Genomic DNA, 27,522 nt, shown 5'->3' with positions numbered 1-27,522 from the left:
TCCCTCAAGATGGTCGTGAGGATTAAATGAGAAATTGGATCCAAAATGCCTAACCCGATGTCCGCCTCAAAGAGCTCGATCAATTGTAGTTATTAATGTTATTTTTATTACGATTGTGATTATGGCAATGGGTGAGCAAACTCACCTCAGCAGGAAATGGTATTGCCCTCCTCCCAGAACCCGTAGAATTTAACCAAAAAGACCATATTTAACTTCGAATTACTTTTGTTTCCTACTCTTACCCTTGTGTACATTAAATCTCACCTACCGAAAACATAAGCCCCACGTCTCATTTACAGCTTGTCTCCCAAGCGTCATGTCTCACGCTAGAAATTAGAAATCAGTGTTAATCAGCTTTGCTCACAAATGCTTTATAATTAAATATGGGGCTGAAGTAAAATAATAACATCTTCCTTTCTGTACATTCGTATAGTGGCAAGCACTTACCTTATATTATCTCACTTGCGCACTCCTTTGTTTAAGAGATGTTTATTGAACACCTCAGCCGGAAAAGCAAAGCCCCTGCTCTCCGAGGCTCGGCGTGGAGGAGACCGAGAGCCGTCGGGGGACTGGGTGCCGTAGCGGGGGGCGGGGGGGGGGGGGACCGGTTGCCTTGGCGGAGGCGGGGAACCGGGTGCCTTGGCGGAGGCGGGGAACCGGGTGCCCTGAGGGGACTGGGTGCCGTGGCGGAGCGGGGGGACTGGGTGCTGTTGGTGGGACGGGGGCGGTGCTGGGTGCGAGGGACGGGGGCGGTGCTGGGTGCGAGGGACTGGGTGCCGTTGGGGCGGAGGTGGGGGCGGGGAACTGGGTGCCGAGGAGAGAGAACTGGGTGCCATAGAGGGCCGGGGTACCGGGTGCGGTGGAGTGGCCGGGTGCAGTGAAGAGGGGGCCCAGTGCAGTGGGGAGACCCAGTGCAGTGGAGGGGACCGAGAGCGACGCTGCAGCACAGCAGCGTGAGCTGGACTTTAAGGACTGTTGTTCCCTGAGAGCGCAGAAGAAGAAATCTTTCAGGTCTGTAGTTAGCTCTGGGAAGGAGTCCAGAAGGATGAATAGGAGTTCGCCGAGCGGAAGGGGTGGAGCATTCCAGCAGGGGGAAAGCGCCTGGAAAGAGAGCGCACGGCGCCTCTGGAAGCTGTGGTCCTTGTGCGTTGTGGGCTGGTGGGAAGGTGGCTGGAGAGGCGAGCAGGGGCTCCTGGAACCGGGGGTTCGGGCCCCTTTACTCAGCGCTGACAGTGCGCAGGTGGTAAACATTCACAGCGTGGCGTTACTTCTAACTGGTCAAGCCAAGCGTTTCTAGGCACGGCCTATAAAAGGCCAGGAAGGACCGAGACCCCTCAGGTTTCGCAGCACGCAGGGGGCGTCCGCAGCCCGGGCTCCAGGAACGAGCCAGGCGCTTTCGCGCGCCCTCTCCGCGTACCATTACTTGCACGGTTCTGTCACAGAACCCACTGACAAGCCCTGCGACGTTGAAAGGGCTGTCGTAAGCAGGTGCTGGCAGGAACCATGGTGTTCTCTGGCAAAAAAAAAAAAAACAACAAACCCACCTATCCTCTCTGGAGGAGCAGCAGTTCCCTTTCCTGGCCAGCAGGATGCCGTGCCAGTGTCCTAGGGGACCCTCTCTGTGAACTCGGGCTCCCTTAGACTGGAAGCTCCTCCAAGGCTGGAGCCCGTCTTACTCACCTGAGGAACCTCAGCAGTCGGCCAGGCCCCATGCGATTGCTAATTGTAGAATGAATGAATAAATTAACACTGTTAATGGAGAAGACAGGATGTGTCCACCTTCCTATCCTTGTAGTAAATGTGGGTTTTTAAACCCCACACCTACACCCATTCTCGGTCCATGTGGCTCACACATGGCTGACCTAATCCTCTCCTTCAAGGATGAGCACATGACTGGTTCCGGGAAGCTCACAAACCCAGCTTGAATCCTCAAAGTTCTCACCAGATTTTTACTGTTAACAGAAAAGAGGCATTGTCTCTGGGTCTGTGGGCTCTAGACCAGGAAAGTCTAACCCTGCCCAGGCCCACTTGGTCAACATATGAAGTGAGTCTACCTGAGAAAGAAACCAACACAAAGAAAGTCAGAGCTGAAAGGTCAAGAAATTAAGAAATTAAGCTTCTTGATCCACCCATGCTTGATCTCCTTCCCAGACTTCCTAGATACTTAAACCAATGAAAGTTTTATTTTTATTTATTTATTTCTACTTGGCAAGTGAAATAATTTAGACAAATACATTTCTCCCCTTTCCTTTACTACCTAAGCAGAAATAGGACAGTGCTGAACAGGAAAAGAACTCCGAAGTAATACTGACATCGACAAGTTCTCCCAAGACACTGGGAGAGATTTCAAATCTCAGTTCTACTTCTCCTTTGCCATGTTATCTTGCAAATGTGTCAGGACTTTTGACAATGAACATGTTGTTTCTAATCATAAATAGCAGCCATTTTCTAAATTTGTAAGTTGAATTCTAGAAAAGTTTCATCTTAACCACAACCATTCAAATACTTTTTTAATCAGCTTGAGCTACTATAACAAAACACAACAGACTGGGGTGGCTTAAAGAACAGAAATTTATTTTCTTGCAATTCTGGAGGTTGAAAGTCCAAGATAAGGTGCCAGCATGATTGAATTCTGGTGAGGGCCCTCTTCTTAGTTTGTAGACAGCAACCTTCTTACTGTATTCTTACATGGCAGAGAGAGAGAGCTCTCTGGTTCCTCCCGTTATAAGGACACTATTTCTTTTGGATCAGAGCCCTACCCTTGTGGACTCATTTAACCTTAATTACTCCTGTAAATGCTCTATCTCAAAATACAGCCACATTGGGGTTGAGGGCTTCAACATATGAATTTGAGAGAAATACAAACATTCAGTCTAGAGCAATTACCATGTTGTTTTTACCATTATTGATGTTTAAGCACCTGCAGTATTGTATTTGCACATAAAAATAATTGGAAGGCATTCCTCATTTAGAAGACAATCGTTAACTAGTAGGATGTAACATGGATTAGTAGGCTGTAAGGATGGATTTGTGAGCTGGATTACTACCAAACTGGGGGAAGTAGAGCTAATAAAACCAACTTTGCTGAAGTGAAAAGTCACACAACTGAGGTCCTTGAGTCTCTGCCCAAAGAAAGATATAGGATGGGGAAGAGTTTTCTGCCAGATCTTGCTAAATTTCACAGCACAGTCCCCAGTCAACAGTAGGGAGCATGCTCTGGAGGAAGGTGAAGCTCTGACTGACAATAAGCCAGGTGGAGGCGGAGGCCTGGGCTGGTCAGCACCTGCAGTCCTAGCACCCTTTCCCCCTATCCTCCATTGCTCCCTGCTCCATGGGCATTAGGTGACCTCTCACCTCTGTAATGAGGCTCCTCCCCAGGGTTTCCTTGGTCTCCTCTCCACCCCTTTGCGTCTCACCTCCTCTCCCTCCAATCTACTCTCCTCACTTGGTTACTTTGCTTCAGGCCTCTCTGGCATTCACAAGACCATGCATGCCAACAGGGCGCCAGGCCAAAGAAATTGCCAATGCTTTCCAGTTCCTGGAAGGTCTCCTTGAAACCTACCAAAGGAAGATGTATAGCTGTGTTAGCTTGTGAGCTAGATATCCATCAGCCATGGCAAAATCTGTTCATCCCGGGCTCAGAATACCAATGTTTTATGTCAAAAGTACTTAATGGTTTTACTCCATGAATCAATGTAAGTACAGCCCCACTGGGGCAGGTGGCTGTGACTCAACTCCACAGTTGGCAGGGGGTTGGGAATCTAACCTCCCAATAGGGCCTCCCCTCCTGTCCAGAATCTTCTTCTTTTCTTCTTCTCATCCTCTCTGTGGGTATCACCACAATTCATCACTGTCACCAAAGCCTGGGAGTCCTCCCAGACTCCAAATCCCTACCCTCTCTAGTCACCCCAAAGCCCCGGGCTTCCCTATCCCTGCCCCTTCTATGATCACCAGTGTATCAAGAGGAAAAGCTGGAAATGTACATCAGTTTCACTTAGTGCCAGCCAATGAGGGGCACTCGTGACAGATGGGAAGGCAGATGAGGAGAAGCCCTTCCTCCTCTGGTGTTGGTGGACATCTGCATCTGCAGACATGAGGCCAGCATAGGTTTCTAAGCGGTCTCCTGCAATCACATATTTTGATGTGGCTGATCCACAGCCAAGATCACTGGGGCCAGTATTCCTGCAGTTTATTCAGCCCCCGATATGAAAACCAACAGTAGTTTTCCACGATTCTTGCTTGTTCCCCTAGAGTTCTGTAAACGTTGCCATCCCAATATTCCAGGAGTCAGCAAGCTCTTTCTGTAAAGGGCCAGAGAGTAAATATTTTAGGCTTTGCAGATCATATATGGTCTCTGTTACAACTGCTCAACTCTGCCTTTGTAGCAGAAAAGCACCCCAAACATCACATAAACAAGCATGACCATGTTCCAATAAAACTTTATTTATAAAAACAGGCCACTGGTTGCACTTGGCTCAAAGGTCATGGTTTGCCACCCTCTACAATATTTAATTCTTCTCCTTAAGCTATTTATAGCTTAACGGGACCCAAATCTAAACAGATTTCTGTTTTCCTAACTGACAGGATATCTTAAATATCTATGGATTTTTTCCTGCCCTTAGTACCACTGCCTTAGTTCAAGCCTTCAGCATTTTAAAGTGAGTTGGCCCTGGCATTTGTCACTCTGTCTGGGGTCTCCTCCCTTGTCTATACCTCACTCATGTGGCTACAATCTCCTGTCATTCCTCCATAAACTCTCGCAATAGCTTGGCATCATTTTTAGGTTACCTTGGGTCCGCCGGGGTCCCAACAGGAAGCAGATGACACAGTCAAATTAAGATAATTCAAAATGGGCTGGTTTACAAATGAGGGGCCTAGGTTTAGGGGAACCACAGGCAAAGAGTAGTCGCTCGGGTTGATAGCAGTGGAGCTCTTTCCCCTCCAGGCCCAGCAGGACAAAGGCAGGGAGCAATTTCCAGAACCCAAAAGAGTGATGGAGAGTCAAGCTTCTCTAATGATCTGTGCTGAAGGACCAGGTTTGGGTTTCTACCCTCTTTGTGTTTGATTTTTTTTTTAATCCTATTCTCCTCAGACTAGTGCTTTGGTAACTTACAATAAAAAAACTATTAGGAAACAATGAGATGAGAAAACCCACAGAGAGTACAAGCCCTAATGTTTTTAATTACAAATTAAGTATCCCTTAATCTGAAATGCTTGGGACCAGAAGTGTTTTGGATTTCAGATTTTTTCAGATTTTGGAATATTTGCATCTACTGTGCATAATAAGATATGCTGGGGATGGGACCTAAATCTAACATGAAATTCATTGTATTAGGTGTACCATTACCCATAGCCTGAAGATAATTTTGTACAACATTTTTAATAATTTTGCTTATGAAATAAAGTTTTGATGGCAACCTATCACATGAGGTCAGATATGGAGTTTTCCATTTGTGGCATCATGTTGGCCCTCAAAAAGTTTCAGATTTTGGAGCATTTAAGATTTCAGATTTTCAGATTAGTGATCCTCAACCCATATTAGATTCAAAAGATAAAATTCTCTATCAAATTGCTATAAGGATTTATAAATGTATATTCTTTTTTTCTTTTTCTCTTTTTTTTTTTTTGAAACGCAGTCTTGCTTTGTCTCTCAGGCTGGAGTGTAGTGGTGCGATCTTGGCTCATGGCAACCTCTACCTCCTGGGTTCAAGTGATTCTCCTGCTTCAGCCTCCCGAGTAGCTGGGATTACAGGCACCCACCACCACACCCAGCTAATTTTTTGTATTTTTAGTAGAGACGGGATTTTGTTCTGTTGGCCAGACTGTTCTTGAACTCCTGACCTCAAGTGATCCACCTGCCTCAGCTTCCCAAAGTGCTGGGATTACAGGCATGAGCTGCTGTGCCCGGCCATAAACGTATATTCTTAACTTCCGTTCTTCCCTCATCATGGGGCCAAGACAGCACTGCAGGGAGGGAGCCAGAGTAATAAATAAAAAGGCCAATCTTACTCTCCTCCCTCTCTCCCATCTCCTACCAACACCCTCCATTGGCCAAACCCAACCAGAAACCAGATAATCAGGAGAGGACATTGATGCCATACCTGTTAGCCTCCCGGGGCACAGGGCAATGTGCAGAAGGTGAAGGGCAGGGCTGAAGGAACAAAAGCAACAGAAAAAAATGCAGCCCAAGGGCCTTCAAAAGACCGCTTCCCAGCCTGTCTTCATGTGGTCCAGTAGTCCACCCCTACCAAACTAACTCTAGGTCCTGCATCCCCTCACCTCTACCCCTTTACATATACTATTCCCTGTGCCTGGGAAGTTTCCACTCCTCTTTGGCCAAGTCTTGCTCTTGGTTCGGGACCATAGAGATAATAATGGTCTGGCATTGCTCAGAACATCTTTCTTCCAATGTCCTTCTTTGGGTAGCAAACCACTCCCTTAGATATGAAGTGGGCAATGACAAAAATTTAGCTAATTCGTTCAGTTATTCAACAAATATTTACTGAGTACCTTACTGTGTGCCATATATACTATTCTAGGTCCTACTAATACAGCACTGAACAAAAGATGACAAATCCCTGTACTCATTCTGATAAGGAAAACACATTTATTTATCAGGTGATAATTATAATCCTCACCTAAAATTGATCTATGAACACTTAGAAAGCAAAGTTTGTTGCTTTCCTCCAAAGAGACCAATCAGAGAGGTCGTGAACATAGCCCTCTTCCCTGGCCACATTGCGAAAATGTGTCTATAGTAGAAGAGTGACTCAGAGATGGCCAGGGGTGGTGGCTCACACCTGTAATCCCAACACTTTGGGAGGCCAGAGGTGGGTGGATCACTTGAAGTCAGGAGTTCAAGACCAGCCTGACCAACATGGCGAAACCCCATCTCTACTAAAAATACAAAAATTAGCCACGCATGGTGGTGCAGGCCTGTAACGCCAGCTACTCCAGAGGCTGAGGCACGAGAATCACTTGAACCTGGGAGGCGGTTGCAATGAGTCGAGATGGCACCACCACCTTCAGCCTGGGTGACAGAGTGAGACTCTGTCTCAAAAAAAAAAAAAAAATGACTCAGAGGGAAAAAGAATTGGGAGATGAAAAGAGAGAGCGCTGTAACTATATTATTTGACTCCTGGATCCAGCCACGCTTGAAGTCTACCCTTAGCTTTCCCAGTTACATGAGCCAACAAATTCCCTTTTTTGCATAGGCTTATTTGGGTTGGATTTCTGTCACTTACAACCAAATGAGCTCTGACTAGTTTGGGAATTCAGCTCAAACTTCCTCTTTTTTTCCCTGAATGTCTGATATAAGCCAGTGGGATATTCTAAAATATGCTATCAGAACATACAGATGGGACATCTATCTTGGCAATTCACATGATGGACACATAAGTAACCAAACAGATCTCATTGAGGGCAAAGGCTTTCCTCTATAAATCCCCATAGCCCTACCTATATTAGATGCACAAGAAGTTAAATGTTCATGGGAGTGACTAATATGACATTTTTTTATTCATTGATCCTCTATAACAAATAGCATTTCTAATAGTATGTCTCTATGGTATGTATGTTTTCTGAGGGTTTTTTTTTGAGACAGTCTCACTCTGTCGCCCAGGCTGGCGTGCAGTAGCACAATCTCAGCTCAGTGCAACCTCCGCCTCCCAGGTTCAAGTGATTCCGCCTCCCGGGTTCAAGTGATTCTCCTGCCTCAGCCTTCCAAGCAGCTGGGACTACAGGCGTGCACCAGGACACCCAGCTATTTTTTTGTATTTTTAGTAAAGACGGGGTTTTGCCATGTTGGCCAGGTTGGTCTCAAACTCCTGACCTCAAGTGATCCGCCCTCCTCAGTGTCCCAAAGTGCTGGGATTACAGGCATGAAGCCACTGCACCCGGCCTCTATGGTATATATTTATATACCCTGGAAAGAGGAATTGATTTGCGATAAAGAGAGGTTGAATACAAAGGGCCTTCCATAAGCTAAACCTGTCAGAGTCCACGCACCTTGGGTCAGATGGATTTCACTCCAGGAAAGGAGCCCATCTGTTTCTATGGGATATCTCATTACAAGTCACGAGGAAGCAGCCAGTCAATTTTGATTGACCTGAGGCAATTAATAATAGCTTAGAACTAGAACAGTACTTGGTATTTGATTAGCATTATGTAAGAAGTATTTGACATATTTAATCTCCATAATAACTCAGCAAGGTAGATGCTATTTTTGTCCCCAATTTATAGATAAGAAAACTATCATGCCTGTAATCCCAGCACTTTGGGAGGCCAAGGTGGGGGAATTGCTTGAGCCTAGGAGTTTGAGACCAGCCTGGGCAATATAGATCTTGTCTCTACAAAAAGTAAAATTATCCAGGCCTGGTGGTGTGCACTTGTGTTCCCAGCTACATGGGAGGCTGAGCCTGGAGGATCACTTGAGCCCCAGGAGACGGAGGTTGCAGTGAGTCAAAATCACACTACTGCACTTCAGTCTACACAACAGTGAGACCCTGTCTTGAAAAAGGAAGAAAGAAGAAAAACAAAGAAAGGAAGAAGGAGAAGAAAGGGAAGAAGGGAAGGAAGAGAAGAAAGGAAGAAGTGAAGGAGGAAAGGAAATGAAAAAGAAAGAGAAAGAAATAAGAAAGAAAGAAAGAGGAAAGAAAGAAAAGAAAGAAAGAAGAAACAAAGAGGAAGGAAGGAAGGGAGGGAGGGAGGGAAGGAGAAGGAGAAGAAGAAGAGAAGGAGGAGGAGGAAAGGAAGGAGGGAAGGGAGGGAGGGAGGGAGGAAGGGAGGGACGAAAGGAAGGAAAAAGAGAGAGAAAGAAGGGAAGGAGAGAAAGAGAGAGAGCAAGAAAGAAAGAAAAAGAGTGAGAAAGAAAGGAAGCGAATCACTTGAGGTGAGGAGTTCAAGACCAGCCTGGCCAACATGGTGAAACCTCATCTCTACTAAAAATACAAAAATTAGCCAGGCATGGCTATGGGGGCCTGTAGTCCCAGCTACTCCAGAGGCTGAGGCAGAAAGATCGCTTGAATCTGAGAGGCAGAGATTGCAGGGAGCCGAGGTCTCACCATTGCACTCCAACCTGGGCTACAGAGCAAAAAAAAAAAAAAAAAGGAAAGAAGGAAGGAAGGCAGGCAGGCAAGAAGGCAGGCAGGCAGGCAGGCAGGCAGGCAGGAAGGCAAGAAGGCAGGCAGGAAGGCAGGCAGGAAAAAAAAATTAGCCAGGTGTAGTGGTCCATGCCTGTAGTCCCTGCTACTGGCAAGGCTGAGGCAGGAGGATCAATTGAACCTGGAGGGCAGAGGTTACAGTGACCCGAGATGGCGCCCCTGCACACCAGCCTGGGCAACAGAGTGAGACCCCATTTCCAAAAAAAAAAGAAAGAAAACTAGGACCTAGAGAGTTGAAATGGCTTGCCCTAGACCATACACTCAATGAGAAGCAGATCTAGGATTCAAACCCAGAGGCCGGGTCCACACCTGCACTTTTACCCACTACCCGACATTGGCGAATCTGTAACACTGGGAATTTCCCAGTGCTGAAAGTCTGAAATGAGGCAGAGAGATGTAAGGGTGGCAAGTAACAGAATCTGCATGCCCTTTGACTAGTGCAAGGATGCTGGAAACCCCTGTCATGATCCCATTTCTGCAGGACTGATAGAAATTTCTAGTTTCAGGGGGAATTATATTTGTGAATGCTTTGTTGGATTCCTAGAGTTAACAACAGTAGCTACCGTCTAGCTGTCAAACTGCTCAGAGCTTTCCCTTGATTTACTTAATCCTCATATGAACTCAGTGGAAACGGTATTATTACCCATCCTACAGGTGAGGAAATGCTGACTAATATGCTTGAGCTGGACACTCTCAGGCAGTAGTCGGTGGGAGAGCCAGGATCCAAATCCAGGTCTGGGGCTCCTAGTCCTCTGTTCTATCGGCTGGTCTTCAAGAAAACCCGACACAGCTGGTACCTAGTATACACCAGAGGACCTGCCCTTCTGCAGCCTCTATTCTACTGTAGGCCTGGGAGTGGCCCCCAATTGTACCTGAGGGATGCAGTCACAGGAGTTTTACTTCATGCAAATATGGAAAGTTATGACCTAATTTAGGATTGTTTATAGCATGCTACACTCCAGGGAAATTACTTTTAAAAAATCCATATTGAGGGAGAAAACTGCCTGGTATTTCACCATCCGTCTTCTTCTCAATTGCTTCTTGTGACCTTTCTACCTATTGCCGAATGTTAACCTTGACTTCTTCCAGCATATAGACATGCAATTTTCTTAGCTACTTGACAGTTAACCTAACCGGAGAAATATAGTTTTCCTTAATCCACTCAAAAGCCTTCATCTTATCCAAAGCATTTCTTCCCTCCCTGAGATGATCACAGGGGGCCCATCCTGAACAAAAGCTTTGTGGTCTTAGGATGTGAAGGGGGAACTTTGTTTTAATGTCGGAACAGTTAACCACTGCATTTAAAACCAAAACATCCAGAGGAGCTACTTTTATACATTGCATTACAAAAGCCACCTTTCTCAAAAGGAATAATATTCCATGTCTTTTGAGAAAGGTGTCTTTGATAATTTCTCCTGCAAGGTTGTTGTAAGAATGACATGAGAAAAAGACCAGGCGCAGTAGCTCACGCCTGTAATCCCAGCACTTTGGGAGGCCGAGGAGGGTGGATCATTTGAGGTCAGGAGTTTGAGACCATTTGGGCCAGCATGGTGAAACTCCATCTGTACTAAAAATACAAAAAAAAAAAAAAAAATTACCTGGGTGTGGCAGCACAGACCTGTAATCCCAGCTACTCGGGAGGCTGAGCCTGGGAGGTGGAGGTTGCAGTGAGCAGAGATTACGCCACTGCACTCCAGTCTGGGCAACAGAGTGAGACTGTCTCAAAAAAAAGAAGAGTTGCATGAGGAAAATATCTAATGCTGATTATGTACCAATACCCTACTTAGCACATGACATATATATGTTACATTAATTGGTTAATGAGCAGTTTTCTCAGCAGGCACAAACGCCCTGTGCTCCTTGAGAGATTGCCCCGATTACCTCCTCTCCACAACCAACCACTGGGTCTTCAGTGTCTATCTATTAAGCATAAGACGCTAGGCCACAGAACACTACTTACAATGCCATCCTGTTTCAGTTTTCAGAAACTTGATATGTAATCATATTAGGTCAATTGAGAGACATCAACATGTTACTAGTTATTATAACTGGGTGGCAAATGTGGAAGTGATTTTTAGTCCTCTTGTTTACACCTGTTCTCTAAATTCTTTACAAAATTTAGACAAGGAAAAAAAGCATTTAAAATGTTAATATCAGCTAGGCACGGTGGCTCACGCCTGTAGTCCCAGCACTTTGGGAGGCCAAGGCAGGCCAATCACCTGAGGTCAAGAGTTCAAGACCAGCCTGGCCAACATGGAGAAACCCCATCTTTACCACAAATACAAAAATTAGCCCAGTATGGTGGCATGCACCTGTAGTCTCAGATACTTAGGAGGCTGATGTAGTAGAATCACTTGAACCTGGGAGGCAGAGGTTGCAGTGAGCCGAAATCGGGCCACTGCACTCCAGCTTGGGTGACAGAGCAAGATTCCCTCTCAAAAAAAAAAAAAAAAATACCCAAAAAAAATCATATTAAATCTCAAACTCTGTGATCCCCAAGTCAACTTAAGCCTAGCCTACTTCCCTGTACCCCAGTGGCCCCTAAACTACAACCTCAGCTCTGTTATTACACCCACAGCTCATCCAGGGCTAACACCAAAGCAGGAATTGAGAAGGAAGAAGCTCTGGAGAAAAGGGGTGGAGGGTTTAAAGAGATTCCCCAAGTCGGCAGTCTCAGCACCACGTCACTTATGGACCCTGAAGGCCTGAGTTTGGAGCCCTCTGTAGGATGGGACCTACAACATCCTCCCCACCCCAAGGTAACACCCTTGGAAAAATCACTATCCTTATCCCTACCCTGGTCTTACCTCCTCTTCCTACTGCCCACTCCTAATTATGGCAGCAGTGCTAAGGGAAGCCCTCTCCCTTGGCACCCCACATTTGTGGATAAGGTTTCAAAGGCTAAGCTTTTCTGGAATTCAGCACATTTTGTCTTTCCCAGCTCAGGGGAAAGAAAACTGTCCAGTCATGGTCACTGCTGTCTCCAGCTTTGGCAATACAACCTACCCAGCATAATGTGAACCTGGAATCAATTCCCTGATGCTTGAAGGTTTCCTTCAGAATGCATCATCGTAAACAGACCCAGGAGGCTCGAGGTAACTCCACAAGGGATTTCAAAGTTACTCCACCTGGAGCCTCAGCCATTCTCTGAATCACAGCCCCATTCTCTGAAAATGCAGAAACTTACCTTGCCAGCACTTTTGTCTACATCCAGGGAGAGAGTCCCAACTGGATTATCCCCAAGCCTTCCTAGACCCTGCAGGGAAGAACCATTAGAGGTGAACAGCCCCCGGCTCTCCCTGACCTCCATGCCTGAGAGAGTGAGCAGCCCACCAGGAGCCAGGCGGCAGCAGTCTCGGGCAGGAACTCCATAAAGGGATGGAGTTTCTTTGCCAGGACTCAGAGAACAAGGCAGACTAATCCTACTCCTGCTTGTCTCATGAGCACCATGGAAAAGCCAATGAGGTGACAAGTCCTGTATTAGCACCATTCGTAGCACTACTCTCCCATTCTGGGACTGGGGGGTGGAGGGTGATCCCCAGAGTGCTTGTAAATCTATTGTCTAAACTGCGACATCTTGGAGAGCTAAAGGGGACACTATTTAGTTAAGCCAGGACAATAGGTATTAAACAGGACTATCCCAGGCAAACCAGGATGTGTGGACACCCTAGAGAACATCTTCTACCCCTGTCGCCAGGTTAGCGGCCTGCGGCTAGAGCAGTTAGTGCCCTGCCCTCCCCCAGATTGTATGCCACTGAAGACAGTCTACTTCTCTAATCAAGCCAGGACCTCACTCAACAAGCTCCCTTGGCATCCCAGGAAAAGAAGAGGAAACTATCACAGGCACCACAAAAATGTGGACAGGGCCCTTATTTGTCTGGTTCAACACAGTATATACCCTGGGCCAAGAATAGTACTTAGCAGGTAGTATATGCTCAATAAATATTTGTTGAATGAGTGAGTGAACGCCCAAAGTTTCTAACATCATCGAGAGAACGCTAGGAAAACAGACTTGGCAATCTAGTAACACATAAAAGGGTTTGAACTCTAACCTTATAAAAATCTAAGGCATTGTGGTGGGGCATGGTGGCTCACGCCTGTAATCCCAGCACTTTGGGAGGCTGAGGTGGGTGGATCATGAGGTCAGGAGATTGAGACCATCCTGGCTAACACAGTGAAACCCTGTCTCTACTAAAAATACAAAAAATTAGCTGGGTATGGTGGTGGGCGCCTGTAGTCCCAGCTACTCGGGAGGCTGAGGCAGGAGAATGGTGTGAACCCGGGAGGCGGAGCTTGCAGTGAGCTGAGATCGCGCCACTGCACTCCAGCCTGGGCGACAGAGCGAGACTCCGTCTAAAAAAAAAAAAAAAATCTAAGGCATTGTATAAACTGCTATGCCTTTCCCTTTGGGGGAGTTTATAAATATGAAATGTTCACAGCTTTAAAATGCCAGATTGAACTGAACCTGTGAACTTCTACAATAAACTAATGGAAAACAAATTATTTTTAAGCCACTGCTGAACTTCAAATAAACTGGAACTATTTCCTGCAATATCTCTAGTACAAACTCATTCAAAACCTTGTTAGCAAAATTGGGACTGAATCTAGCAAATGCTTGGTATACACATCAGGATTCCTCTAACCCCAGTCTCACTGTGTGTAGGTTCCCTGAGAAACAGGTGCCTGGAGAGAACTAGGTTTGCAGGAGATTTAGTGGGGGAAATGGCTAGGAAGCATAAAGGAGACGGAACAGGAGAAGGCAAGGCGGGCCTTCACACCACCGTGAAAGATGGACACGTATGAAAACAGAGGGGGAAGGAAGGAGGACTGGATAGAACCTCAGACGCAGCACAGTTCTAAGGAAGTTTCAGCCAGGTTGATGGGGGGTCCTGGAGCTAAAGTTGTCCAGTAGAGAAGTCCCACATTCCAAGGAATGGGCCAGCACTGGCACCCCACCATGTTCAGTCTCTGGCTGGAAGAAAGTATGGCCTTAGCATAAACAGGGTGGTGGAACAAGAGGGGTGGCAGCTGGGCTCTTACTCCACAGTGCTCCCGCGGCAGGAGTTCTAAGCAGCACATGTTCAGGGCTACTGCCCACTATGTTTGAAACAATATTGTCCCTGGAATGACCCTTTTCAGTGAATCCAAATAGGCTCTGTGAAATTATGCCAGCTGTCAGCTGAATACTCACAGTAGATAACATATAAGCTAGCCCACCACCACCATATTTTTCTCCCAAGTGCTGGAACTTTTCATCCCTATCAGCCAAGATAAAATTTTCTCATAGAACACAATCAGTGACAAACTTTTATTCAGAAAATAAAAGTATTATTTCATTTTATTATTCCCAAAGAATCAAGCCCATCATGAGTAGCCCACATGGTTGCTGTTCAAAGGTACTGAAAAGGGAGGCATTTGGTCACCATTACCCATCAAGGAACTCTTTACAAGGATAGGTTCCAAGTCCTTCGTGCTGCTCTTGGTCATTCAGTGACTGCAGTTTTGGCCCAGAAGCCATCCAAGATGAGCAAGTGCTGAGCCATCCTTAACTCATACCTAGATGAAACAACTTGCGCAGAAACGCTGGTCCTCCCCAGTAACCCCTGTAAGAAATAACACAAAAAAATGTACCTGCAGCAAGAGAGATGGGGCGACTTCAGTCAGGAGGATGCTGAAAGGGAAGCCAGGCTGCTCACAGAGCATGTTCATCAGCACGTAAAGCAAGATTGTCTAGTGAGTTGGAGAGATCCCATGACTAGGAGGGGACAACCTACTTCCATTCCTAAGCTTTGACAAAGACTTGCTGTGTGAGCCTGGATGTGCTAACTCAATTTGGCAAATGTGTCTAAAGCCTCTACTACATGCAAACTGCTACTCTTTCTGCTTTCATTACCTCATAATTAACTGTAGGATTTTGCAATCTTGGCCCTATTGATATGTTGGACCAGATAATTCTTTGCTGTTGGGGGCTGACCTGGCATTATAGGACGTTTAGCAGTATCCCTGGCCTCTGCTCACTAAATGCAAGTAGCACCCCTCCAGTTGTAACAACCAAAAAGTGTCTCCAGAAATTATCAAATGTCCCTGGGGCAGCAAGGGGTAGGAAGATCACTCTTGGTTCAGGACCACTGATGTAGACACCCAGATTTCTCTCTCATATGGGTTTAGAAAAGTCAAAGGAGGTCATCAGCTTTTAGAATGCAGAAGAGTGGCTGGGTGCAGTGGCTCACACCGGTAATCCCAGCACTTTGGGAGGCTGAGGCAGGTGGATCATTTGAGGCCAGGAGTTTGAGACCAGCCTGGCCAACATGGCAAAACCCTGTCTCTACTAAAAATACAAAAATTAGCTGGGCATGGTGGTGCATTCCTGTAATCCCAGCTACTTGGGAGGCTGAGGCAGGAAAATTGCTTGAACCCGGGAGGTGGAGGTTGCAGCGAGCTGAGATCACACCACGGGCAGGGCAAGACTTTGCCTCCAAAAAAAAAAAAAAAAGGAGGAAGAGGAATTACTCGTTTTTATTACTCTATTTACTTATTGAATCCCTACTATGTACCTGCCTCTTTATGTGTTATCTCATTAACCTCCATCTTGTGAGGTAGGCAATGTTACTTTCATTTTGCAGATGAGAAATTTAAACACAAAGAGTGTTTAATTAAATTAAACAGAACTTTCCCTGGGACACACAGCTATGTATGTCATGCTAATAGCATGACACTGCTAATGGCCATAATGACACTGCTAATGACTTCTGCCATGCTAATAGCAGAAGTATGACTCAAATGCAGGTCTGACTCCAAAGTCTGTGCTCTTACTCACTGTTTGGTTTCTCCCATAACAATAAAAACAAAGGTAAGGGGCCAGGAGCGGTGGCTCATGCCTGTAATCCCAACACATTGGGAGGCCGAGGCGGGCGGATCACTTGAGGTTGGGAGTTTGAGACCAGCCTGGCCAACATTTAGTAGAGACCCGTCTCTACTAAAAATATAAAAATTAGCCAGGCGTGGTGGCAGGCACCTGTAATCCCAGCTACTCAGGAGGCTGGGGCAGGAAAATTGCATGAACCCAGGAAGTGGAGGTTGCAGTGAGCCAAGATTGTGCCACTGCACTCCAACCTGGGCAACAGAGCAAGACTCTGTCTCAAAAAAAAAAAAAAAAAAGTAAGGTAGCAGATGATAGAGTACTTGGTATGTGAAAGTGATTTACTATTATTATTTATCCAGCAGCAAAAGAGGGCCTAGAGCATGGAAGACAGAACACTTGGTCACTGCTAATAATGAAGAAAAGAGGCTGCATCCCCTTTGGGTGGAGATGTGCTACAAATCCCTTTCCTCATCCAGGAACCAGGCAGTGCACTTACCTTAGCATCATATTCCAATACAGGAAAGGCATCAGGTCAGCTTTCATGAGATACATGGAAAGGCGCTCTTTGCTTTGATCAAAGGGGAAGGTTTCTAGCGGCTCTGCTTTGTAGTCAAACTCAGCAAGAATCACACGGTTGTAGCCGGTCACCAGTGGACATGATGTGTAGCCATCATACTAAAATTGTAAATCAGACTGAGTTGGAAAGTAGATTTTTTTCATGGTACTATATTAACACTATAGAATTTATTATTTGCTGTGAGTGCTTATATATTTTTTCTTTTCTGTATATTCTAGCTTTTTGTACTGTGAAAAATGTAAATTATATTACAAAAAAAATAGTACTAATGGCAAAAACAGAAATGCCCATATTGGAGACACTAATTAAAAAAGTGCAAAACTGGGCCAGGCGCGGTGGCTCACACCTGTAATCCCAGCAGTTTGGGAGGCCAAGGCGGGTGGATCATCTGAGGTCAGGAGTTTGAGATCAGCCTGACCAACATGGAGAAACCCTGTCTCTACTAAAAATACAAAAAATTAGCCAGGTGTGGTGGCACATGCCTGTAATTCCATCTATTCGGGAGGCTGAGGCAGGAGAATCGCTTGAACCCAGGAGGTGGAGGTTGCGGTGAGCTGAGATCGTGCCATTGCACTCCAGCCTGGGCAACAAGAGCAAACTGCATCTCAAAAAAAAAAAAAAGAAAAACAGAAAAAAAGAAAAGACAGAAAGTGCAAAATTGTGGGAAAACACTACTTTTACACAGAATGGAAGATGATCATTGAGACAGTGATTCTTACAAGGCATACAAACCTTCTTTGTTGGTGTTTGATTCTTCATAATTACAGAAATTGTCCTATCAAGTATTCCTGACTGGGCAGCTATAAGAGAAATGGGAAAGTCAGAAAAATGTAAGCATCAAGGTTTTCCATGAAAACTAATTTGCAAATAACTTTAATGTAAACAAGAAGATTCCATTTCCCATCCCTCAAGACTGTGACTAGAACATGACCTTCTTACTAATTGAAATTCTGACTACCGGAGGGGGTTCTTTAATTCATGGAAGGCCTGCGCATGTGTTTCCATGGGTTTGATACTAAAGAGCCGACTCCCTCCAGTGTGGCTGTAAGGAGGGACCTACCCCAAATCCACTGCCTCTCCTCTTGGGGTTGAGGCTGTCAACTTAGTCTGTGTGTCCACTTAGTCAGTGTTCTTGACCATGTGGGTTATCCCTGTGTCCCTGTTCACAGGCAGTCTGGATTGGTAGCCCCAGGCATTTCCAATAAGACAAAGCAGGCCTTCCTCTCTACCGGACTGTCCTGGCTGAGGCAGGACCAGGTGGATATAGATACAGATATAGATATAGATCTGTGGATATAGATATAGATCTATAGATATAGAGATACAGATATATAGATCTACCTGTATTTCCATCTCTCTGTCTCTTTCCTAGATAGACAGACAGACAGACAGAACGACAGACAGATACAGATAGATACATACATACATCGGGATTTGTTTCTGTTTTTCTTTGGCAAGAATGGGGAGACTGCCTTTTTTATTAGGAAAATGTTCAAATTCCATCGTTTTGTTTCATGCATCTCATCACACATGCTATTTTTTTCCCGCTGTATTTTTAGAGCAGATATCACATCAGTTCACTCATAAATCTCCTGTCTGTATCTCTGATGGGGAATTTTCTTAACACAAACCCGCAGTATTTTCGCACCCCCAAAATATTAGTAATAGTTTCTTCATATAATCTAAACCCAGTTTGTGTTCAATGTTGAATAATTAAGACTGCCCAGATGGGCATGGTGGCTCATGCCTGTAATCCCAACACTTTGGGAGGCCGAGGAAAGTGGATCATTTGAGGTCAGGAGTTCAAGACCAGCCTGGCCAATATGATGAAACCCCATCTCTACTAAAAATACAAAAATTAGTCAGGCATGATGGTACACGCCTGTAATCCCAGCTACTCAGGAGGCTGAGGCAGGAGAATCGCGGAGGTTGCAGCAAGCCGAGATGGCACCACTGCACTCCACCCTTGGGGATAAAGTGAGACGCCACCTCAGAAAAACAAAAAAAGACTACCCTTTTAAGGAGACAGCAGTTTGTGGCCGAGCATGGTGGCTTACGCCTGTAATCTCAGCACTTTGGGGGACCAAGGTGAGCAGATCACAGGAGTTTGAGACCAGCCTGGCCAACATGGTGAAACCTGTCTCTACTAAAAATACAAAAAATTAGCCAGGCGTGGTGTCGCTCCTGTAATTCCAGCTACTCAGGAGGCTGAGGCACAAGAATAGATTGAATCCGGAGGCAGAGGTTGCAATGAGCTGAGATTGCACCACTGCCCTCCAGCCTGCATGACGGAATGAGACTCTGTCTCAAAAATAAAATAAAATGAAGATACAGCAGTTTGTGTCTCTAGAGGTAGAACATGGGATTCACGTTTGAGGAAAGATGGGTTACCTTTGTATTATAAAATGCTTATTAAAGTGGTTATTTTGCAATCTCCCAAATCAGGGGTTAGCAAACTTTTTCTGTAAGAAAAATTGCAGGCCTTGTGGGCCCACGGCAAATCAAAGATATTATATAATGAGAAAAAACAAAATTTCCACCATACAAAAACAGGCAGTGGACTGCATTGCCCCATAAGCTATAGTTTGCTGATGTCCAAATCAAAGAAGCAATGATTTTTTTTCTAGAATGGGTGAGGGTCACAAAAATGAAGAGTAAACAACTCTACTTAAAAATATTAAATGAGGCCGGGCGCGGTGGCTCACGCCTGTAATCCCAGCACTTTGGGAGGCTGAGGTGGGTGGATCACTTGAGTTCAGGAGTTCAAGAACAGCCTGGCCAACATGGTAAAACCCCGTCTCTACTAAAAATAGGAAAATTAGCCAGGCGTGGTGGCAGGTGCCTATAATCCTAGCTACTCAGGAGGCTAAGACAAGAGAATTGCTTGAACCCAGGAGGCAGAGGTTGCAGTGAGCCAAGATCGTGCCACTGCACTCCAGCCCGGGCAACAGAGCAAGACTCCATCTAAATATATATATATATATTAAATGAGGCCAAGCACAGTGGCTAATGCCTATAATCCCAACATTTTGGGAGGCCAAAGCAGGAGGATCGCTTGAGCCCAGGAGTTTGAGACTTGGGCAACATAGGGAGACCCTATCTCTACAGATAACTTAAAAATTAGCTGGGTATGGTGACACATGCCTACAGTTCCAGCTACTTGGGTGGGGGGGTGGGGGTTGAAGTGGAAGGATCACTTGAGCCCAAGAGGTCAAGTCTGCAGCGAGCCGTGATCACTCTACTACACTCCACCCTGGGCGACAGAGCGAGACCTTGTCTCTAAAAAACAAAAAAAAATTAAATGGCTATATTCACTGTGGGCAAAGCAACATCTCTAAAGATCATATTTCCCTTTTGGAAAACTGTGTTCCTTTTTGAGGGCCATAAAGAGTTTGGAATCTGGACTGAGAACACTTGAGGAGGCCACAGCAGCAGGACATCAAGGCCAATGGAAAAGGAGTGGAGACATCCAGTGGGTGCCACCACAGAGAGGTGAGGCCTGTGGAGCCAGGAAGCAGTCACTCAACGTCCAGGCTTAAAGTGTGCATGGGTGCAGGCGTGCGGGACTTGGGTTTTTGCCCTGTATTACAATCCCCTTCTATCATGCCCATGCCTTCAGTTAACTTTTGTTAAATGCCACATCCTGATCTTAGCTGTGCTGGGAGTAATTAAAGGAGCATCCTGGGGCAGAGAGAAGCAGAGAAGGGGACATGAGCTCCGGAAAGCCAGACTCAACATGGCAAGATGGGTCTCGCTCACAATCGCATAAGGGTCTGAACAGAGGATTGGTGGCAAGTAAACCCAAGGACAGATTTGTGGAAAAAGTGTAGCATTGCCTTGGGATACTCAGAGGATTTGGGGAAGGGAATCTAAGAAGAAATGAAGATCTGCTTGGGAACAGCTAGTACTATTGTAATTTGGACATTGAAGAGAAGAGTAAATAGACTTTCACACAGGTGAAATATTAGCTTGGTGCAAGTAACTGCGGTTTTTGCCACTCCTCTTAATGGCAAAAATTTAGAGACATTACTCTTAATGGCAAAAACCGCAATTACTTTTGCACCAACCTAAATAGCAGGTAAAGAGCACTCATTATGGTACTGTTTGAATAAAAATGGTTGGAAACAACCCAGATATAATTAAGAGTGGACTCTTTAAATAAGCTCTAGAGCAACCATAGAATAGGTTGCAGATTGTAAGACACAAATGTAAAAACAATGGGGATGCTCCCTCCATGGTTGGGGGACTGTGAAAGCCACGCAGATGCACTGCAGGACTGGGAACAAGACTTTCCACTTAGAATATTTTTGTTCAGTCATATTCAGTCTTATCTATCTGGAACATCGAATTAAATATTTGTTTGAAGAAGGCTAAAAGCTGGGTAATCTGGGCCTCACATCACAGGTAGTTTCACCACATAAATGCTGCAGGCTTACATTAAATGAGTGTCATTTCAAAGTATCACCCCACAGACTACCTACAAATTACAAAGAGAGAGAGAGTACTTTTACAATGAAAAAAAAAGAGAGAGAGAGAGAGAGAGAACACCCCTTAACCCAGTGAGGAAGTCTAGCTTCACTAAAGACAAGACAAACTAACATGACAGGCTCCTGAGGTGCCACAGAGGGAGGTACACAGACTCAGGTATGGAGATTTTTGCCAAAACATATAACCTGAATCTAACCGTAAGAAAGCAACTAGACAATTCTAAATTTTGGGGTATTCTACAAGGTAACTGGCCTGGAATCTTCAAAAATGTCAATGTCATGAAAGTAAAGAAAAAAATGTCAGAAGGCCTGCTCTATATTAAAGGGAACCAAAGAGGCATGACGCCCAATGCAGTGTGTGATCCTTGACTGGCTGGTGGATTTAAGGAGGGGCTGGGACAAAAAAGGACATTTTTAGGAAAATATACATAAATACAGGCTGGGCGTGGTGGCTCACGCCTGTAATCCTAGCACTTTGGGAGGCCAAGGTGGGCAGATCACCTGCAGCCAGGAGTTCGAGACCAGCCTGGCCAACATGGTGAAACCCCATCTCTACTAAAAATAAAAAAAATTAGCCAGGTGTGGTGGTGGGTGCCTGTAATACCAGCTACTTGGGAGGCTGAGGAAGGAGAATCGCTTGAACCTGGGAGACAGAGGTTGCAGTGAGCTGAGAGTGCGCCACTGCACTCCAGTCCAGGCAACAAGAGTGAAATTCTGTCCCCCCACCAAAAAACAAACAAACAAACAAACAAACAAAAATATATATATATATATGTACACACACACACACACACATAATATATACATACATAATATACATATATACATAAATACGATGAAGCAAATGTCACAAAATATTAATAATTGGTTAATACCTGAAGGGTATATGAGTATTATAATTTATTTCAAATTTGTATAGGTTTGAGATTTTTTTTTAAATAAAAAGTTGGAAGGAAATTAATATTAATAATGAAAAAGACACTCAGTGAGTTTCCTAGATGGTCTACCTTGAGGTTGAAATAGTCAGCAAAAGTAACACAATCTGTTCCACAGGTGTCTAATTCACACAAAACATGACCATACTGAAGGTCTTGTGTTTTATAGCATCCAGAGAAGACAGTTCCTGTCAGTAGAGGACAGAATCTAAAAGGCAATTCTCCCCATCACTGCTGGTGCAGAACATCGAGGTGAAGAATTTAGTTTTCCAGGCTGAGGCCTTAATCGTGTACCACTCAGGGCATGCTCCACTGTATTTGTCTTAACAGGACAATTTTCTGGTCTGCAAGCTTTCATTGACTTCCATGTGTTTTCTGGGAAAACAAATGCTCCTCGAGCTTTATGGTGTTTCAGGCAGAAGAAAAATAGCCAACCTGCCTGGTGTCAGAGGCAAAGATACCAGGGATGCCAGTATGGCAGTATGAGAAGTAACAGAATTCAAGAGAGCTAGAAAAGTGATGCACTCTAAGGCCCCCTCTTCTGACAACAACCCCTCTGACCTAGAAAAGGTAGATAAGATCATGCTACTCTGGGGCAAAGCACTCAAAAGGTATTTTTTGCTGTATATGACACTGGGTTCATTGACAACTTGCTTCTGTCTTAGGAAGGCCTTTTTTTTTTTTTTTTGAGATGAAGCCTTGCTCTGTCACCCAGGCTGGAAAGGAGTGGTGCGATCTTGGCTCACTGCAACCTCCACCTCCCGTGTTCAAGCAATTCTTCTGCCTCAGCCTCCTGAGTAGCTGGGATTGCAGGCGCCCACCACACGCCTGACTAATTTTTGTATTTTTAGTAGAGACGGGGTTTCACCATGTTGGCCAGGCTGGTCTCAAACTCCTGGCCTCAAATGACCTGCCTGCCTGAGTCTCCCAAAGTGCTGGGATTACAGGCAGGAACCACCGTCTCTGGCCGATGCCAAGCTTGTGTTTTTGTTACAATCATGCCTTGAGGTGACATATTTTTGAGAAAGGGAGAAATGGAGCTGGTTGACTTACCTACTGCAGCAGCGGTCTTTGACGTAGGAAGGTTGGTGCAGTCCCCAATCCCAAACACATTTGGGTACCTCCTGTGTTGCAGAGTTTCTTTATCCACATCCACCCAACCAGCAGCATCAGCCACAGGACTGGTCTTGAGGACATCTGGTGGGCTCATTGGAGGTGTGACATGAAGCATTTCATACTACACACAAAGAGAGAATCCACATTTTCATTTATTCAATATTTCTACAGCTCCACAAGCTCTCCCCCTACCTTCCTTACTCTATACACTGTGCTATGGCTGCATGGAGCATTATACAATCAGCACTTGTACCAGTCCACGCCCTCTCCAAGATCTTATGTGTTCTCCTGGGGAATGGTGATAAGCTAAATAACCATTCTCTCAGTTGACGTGATCTCCCCATACAGAGACCAAGAGAGCCCTGTGGACACACGTACGGGTACATGAGATATTGGAGTAAAGCTCACTAATATTCTGAAAAAATCCATTGATGTTTTTATTAGTACTAAAATAAGGGGGTGGTATATTTCAGTTGCAGTCTCCCTGACCCTCAGCTGTCAACTTGCAAAGTTTAGCACCTCAGCGTTATTCTGTAAGGTGATGCTCAGCATCCCTTAAACTTGTAAAGGATATGTTAGGAGCTGGTAAGAAAGCATCATTCCCAAATATGTGTCAACTTCAAAACACATAAAGGAAACTGTCAGAACACCAATTTAAGATGAAAAGGGGTGGTAAAAATATTAGCTAGCACTTTGGAAAAGGAGCAAGGGGTCTGATTCAGTACTGGATTTACTTTTCAGTGCAGAAGGCAGGGGTGAATTTTTTTCCAAAACACCGTATCAAGGTTACCTTTGGTAGTGGTGCACTGACCCATCCTAATCACTTTTGAGGGCTCATTTAATTTTTTTGTTTATGTAATATTCTTTCACGTTTTGTAGTTGGTTCTTATTATTCTTTTTATTTATTTTTAACAAACTCCTTCCAGCAAATTCATCAATTTGCTAGTGGGTCCAGTTAAGGACACATTGATTGAAATGTTCACGACATGTCATTAGGGTAAAAACTTAAGCAGTTGAAGACAATTCCAACCTTTTGAGATAGTCAATAGCCCTTCATTTCCACAAGAAGTCCAATGTTCCCATGCCCTCCGAGAGGCTCAGCAGTCACTGATGGCAATGGGAATTAGGAAGATGACTTGTACTTATTACAACTCTCAGACAAATATAAGCTTAATTAACCTCAGGGAAGGAGCACTGCAAATGGCTGCTGCTCATCTGCAGGATAACCTTGGGTGGAGGGTGGCTCTTGGGCACATGGGTCCCTGAGGTCAGGTCTGTTCATGAACGTTGAAACTGAATGCATGTTTGCAGGATAATGGATGAAATGGTCAACAGCTATCATCTACTAAATTATTAATCTCCTGTCTGCATTTCTGCAGTCAACTAGAACTACTTTTGAGACAGTGTTTCACTCTGTTGCCAGACTGGAGGACAGTGGCTTGATCATAGCTCACTACAGCCTCGAACCCCTGGGCTCAAGCAATCCTCCTGCCTCAGCCAGGAGGCACGCACCACCACACCCAGCTAGTTTGTTGTTGTTGTTTTTTCTTTTATTAGAGACTCGGTCTTGCTCTGTTGCCCAGGCTGGTCTCGAACTCCTGGGCTCAAGCAATCCACCTGTCTCAGCCTCCCAAAGTGCTGGGATTACAGGTGCAAGCTACCATACCTGACCTAGAACTACGTTTTTGAACTGAGGTCTAAACCTTACTAGAGTCATCTCGGTGGAGTTAATGTGTTTGAATTTCACAAGTACACACAAATTCCACAACTCTTTTCTAAAAGAAAAGCTAAATACTTTCATATAATCATCATAAAGGTATGGAGTTTTACCTGAGCTAACATCCTACAAAAGGGTCTACTTTATGGATTTATTAGAAATTAATGGCCAGGTGCAGTGGCTCATGCCTGTAATCCCAACACTTTGGGGGGCCAAGGTGGGCAGATCGCTTGAGCTCAGGAGTTCGAGACCAGCCTGGGTAACGTAGTCAAACCCCTCTCTACCAAAAACACAAAAAATTATCTAGGCATAGTAGCACATGCCTGTTGTCCCAGCTCCTCAGGAGATTGAGGTAGGAGGATGGCTTGCTTGAGGCTGGGAGGTGGGGGTTGCAGTGAGCCAAGATGGCACCACTGCACTCCAGCCTGGGTGACAGAGCAAGATCCTGCCTCCAAAAGAAAAAAAGAAATAAAAAGAAATTAACATTGGGCCAGGTGTGGTGGCTCACACCTGTAATCCCAACACTTTGGGAGGCCAAGGTGGGCAGATCACTTGAGCCCAGGAGTTTGAGGCCAGCCTGAGCAACACAGCAAAACCCAGTCTTTAAAAAAATACAAAAATTACCCGGGCATGGTAGTGCATGCCTATAGACCCAGCTACTCAGGAGGCTGAGGTAGGAGGATTGCCTGAGCCTGGGAAGTAGAGGCTGCAGTGAGCCATGAGCCACGGTTGTACCACTGCACTCCAACCTAGGTAACAGAGTGAGACCCTGTCTACAAAAAAAAAGAAAGAAAGAAAAAAACAAACAAACAAACACTGGCACTTAGTTGTAGCTTGTTCATTATCTATCATTTATTTCTGTAACTGTATAGGATAAATAACTTGGTCCTCCTTCATTAACATACATAGTCCAATCAGTGTGGTGGTTTTCAAACTTTAATGTTTATTAGCAGCATTGGGGAGACTTGTGGAAAATACAGGTTCCCAGGCTACACCATGCCAAGATCCCAATCTAGTAGATCTGGGTAAAGCACGGGAATCTGTACTTTAAAATCTGCTAGTGATTCTGATATGTAAAATCTGTGGATCACATGCTTACAATCTCTGGCTTGAAGGAACAGGTTCATTTACAAAGAAAAATAGAATGCTATTATTTGGACAAGTCACTTCATCTCTTTGGTCTTTAGTTTGCTTATCCATAAAGAAATGCACTAGACTAGACAATCTCCAAAGTGTCTTCTAGTTCCTCCGCCTCCCAGGTTCAAGCAATTCTCTGCCTCAGCCTCCCAAGTAGCTGGGATTACAGGCTCCTGCCACCATGCCCGGCTAATTTTTGTATTTTCAGTAGATACAGGTTTCACCATCTTGGCCAGGCAGGTCTCAAACTCCTGACTTCGTGATCCACCCGCCTCGGCCTCCCAAAGTGCTGGGATTATAGACTTGAGCCACCACGTCCGGCCCAATTCTTCACACCAGTTGTTTTCAATCCTGGTTGAACATTAGTCATTAGGGGAATTTTTGAAACTCCCCATCCTCAATCTGCACCCCAAACCAATTAATTAAAACCTCTTATAAAGAGGCCAGGCATCAGCACATTTTAAAAGCTCCCTAATATGTAGCCAGGGTTAAGAGCCACAGCTTTACATCCTTCTGGTGGATTTTTTGAAATTCAGATTTTAAGAGTGGAACTAAATATCTGACCTGAAATCCTATAATTCAAAGGGGACACAAATATCTTCTTTAATTACAAACCCCTTAGAAGAATAATAACCATTCATTTATCCACACCCCTACCTACAACCTCAGCTATCCAGAGGACAGCTGGGAAACGAAGTACTAACAAAGTTAAGTTCATGCACTCAAGTTCATACACTTTGCTCATAAAAGGATGCTTCGGGCTCTTACTCATAGCTCATTTTAGTGAAAGCCCAACTTGGGCTCACTCAAACGGACTCTCTCAAATGGGCTCTTTTGTAAAGTAAAAATGAGTTCACTCATATGAGCTCTCACTCATAGCCCATTTGAGTGAGGCCATTTGAGGAGCAGCAATTTAAAAAAGCTAAAGCTGGAGGGACCTCCCAAAGTCACTAACAACGGCCTGACAGCCAGGAAAAAGGAAAACTACAAAAAGGACACACAAAAAACAAACAGCAGTAATTTGAGACCCTTTTATAAAGTGATAACTAGCTCCAAACATTCCAGTAGCCTCTGTGTGCATAACTACACAGGAGCTATTCAAAATGATGACCCTGAGCTGCTGCAGATAGATACTAGATGAGCCTGGGACAACCTGTGACACCAGAAAGTAAAGGAAGTGCTCAAACACATGATGGGGCATGTCACAGGGACACAAGAGCCAGCTGGAAGGGAAATCTACTGACCAAATCCAAAACAATTTGAGCACCATAATAATTAAAAACAATAATGAATGATAACACTGTAAGAAAAAATATAGGAACTCATGAGTTCATACCAATAGTTAATTAACTAAGAAGCAAAGACTCTCGCTGAAAGAATGCCAAGAGCTTACTGGTAAATGTGCAGGAAATGTCACAGTTAGCAAATCACCATTTTGCAACCACCATAGTAAAGATTTGATTAGGCAAGGATCATCAATGGATGCTAACTCTAGTGGGGAGACTTGAATGAGTAGACTATTTACATGGT

At 44.9% G+C, this 27,522-nt stretch overlaps 1 protein-coding gene and 2 long non-coding RNA genes across 4 annotated transcripts in view; all 3 read right to left on the bottom strand.

Annotated features, from left to right (window-relative positions):
• The window catches only part of LOC105370802 (uncharacterized), a 225,875-nt gene extending 225,333 nt beyond the window's left edge, over positions 1 to 542 (bottom strand). Inside the window, exon 1 of the long non-coding RNA NR_135680.1 lies at positions 448 to 542. This is a non-coding gene — a long non-coding RNA (uncharacterized LOC105370802). The remainder of the gene's footprint in view (positions 1 to 447) is intronic.
• Positions 543 to 2,553: 2,011 nt separating this feature from the next.
• On the bottom strand, positions 2,554 to 7,877 carry LOC124903484 (uncharacterized). The gene is made up of 2 exons (XR_007064617.1): positions 6,102 to 7,877; positions 2,554 to 4,301 (listed from the first exon to the last, which is right to left on the bottom strand). It is a non-coding gene; the product is annotated as an uncharacterized LOC124903484 (long non-coding RNA).
• A 6,578-nt stretch (positions 7,878 to 14,455) lies between these two features.
• Positions 14,456 to 27,522, bottom strand: part of SQOR (sulfide quinone oxidoreductase) — a 60,134-nt gene continuing 47,067 nt past the window's right edge. For both annotated transcript variants that reach the window (NM_001271213.2, NM_021199.4), the window contains 4 exons: positions 23,076 to 23,259; positions 17,333 to 17,400; positions 16,520 to 16,698; positions 14,456 to 14,764 (listed from right to left, as the gene is read on the bottom strand). In NM_001271213.2, the coding sequence (NP_001258142.1) occupies positions 14,707 to 14,764; positions 16,520 to 16,698; positions 17,333 to 17,400; positions 23,076 to 23,259 (489 nt within the window). In that variant the 3' untranslated portion in view covers positions 14,456 to 14,706. The remainder of the gene's footprint in view (positions 14,765 to 16,519; positions 16,699 to 17,332; positions 17,401 to 23,075; positions 23,260 to 27,522) is intronic.

Source organism: Homo sapiens, chromosome 15 (genome assembly GCF_000001405.40).
Source record: "Homo sapiens chromosome 15, GRCh38.p14 Primary Assembly".
Taxonomy (NCBI): Eukaryota; Metazoa; Chordata; class Mammalia; order Primates; family Hominidae; genus Homo; species Homo sapiens.
The sequence above is the reverse complement of the archived record's forward strand: the minus strand, read 5'-3'. Positions and strand labels throughout refer to the sequence as shown.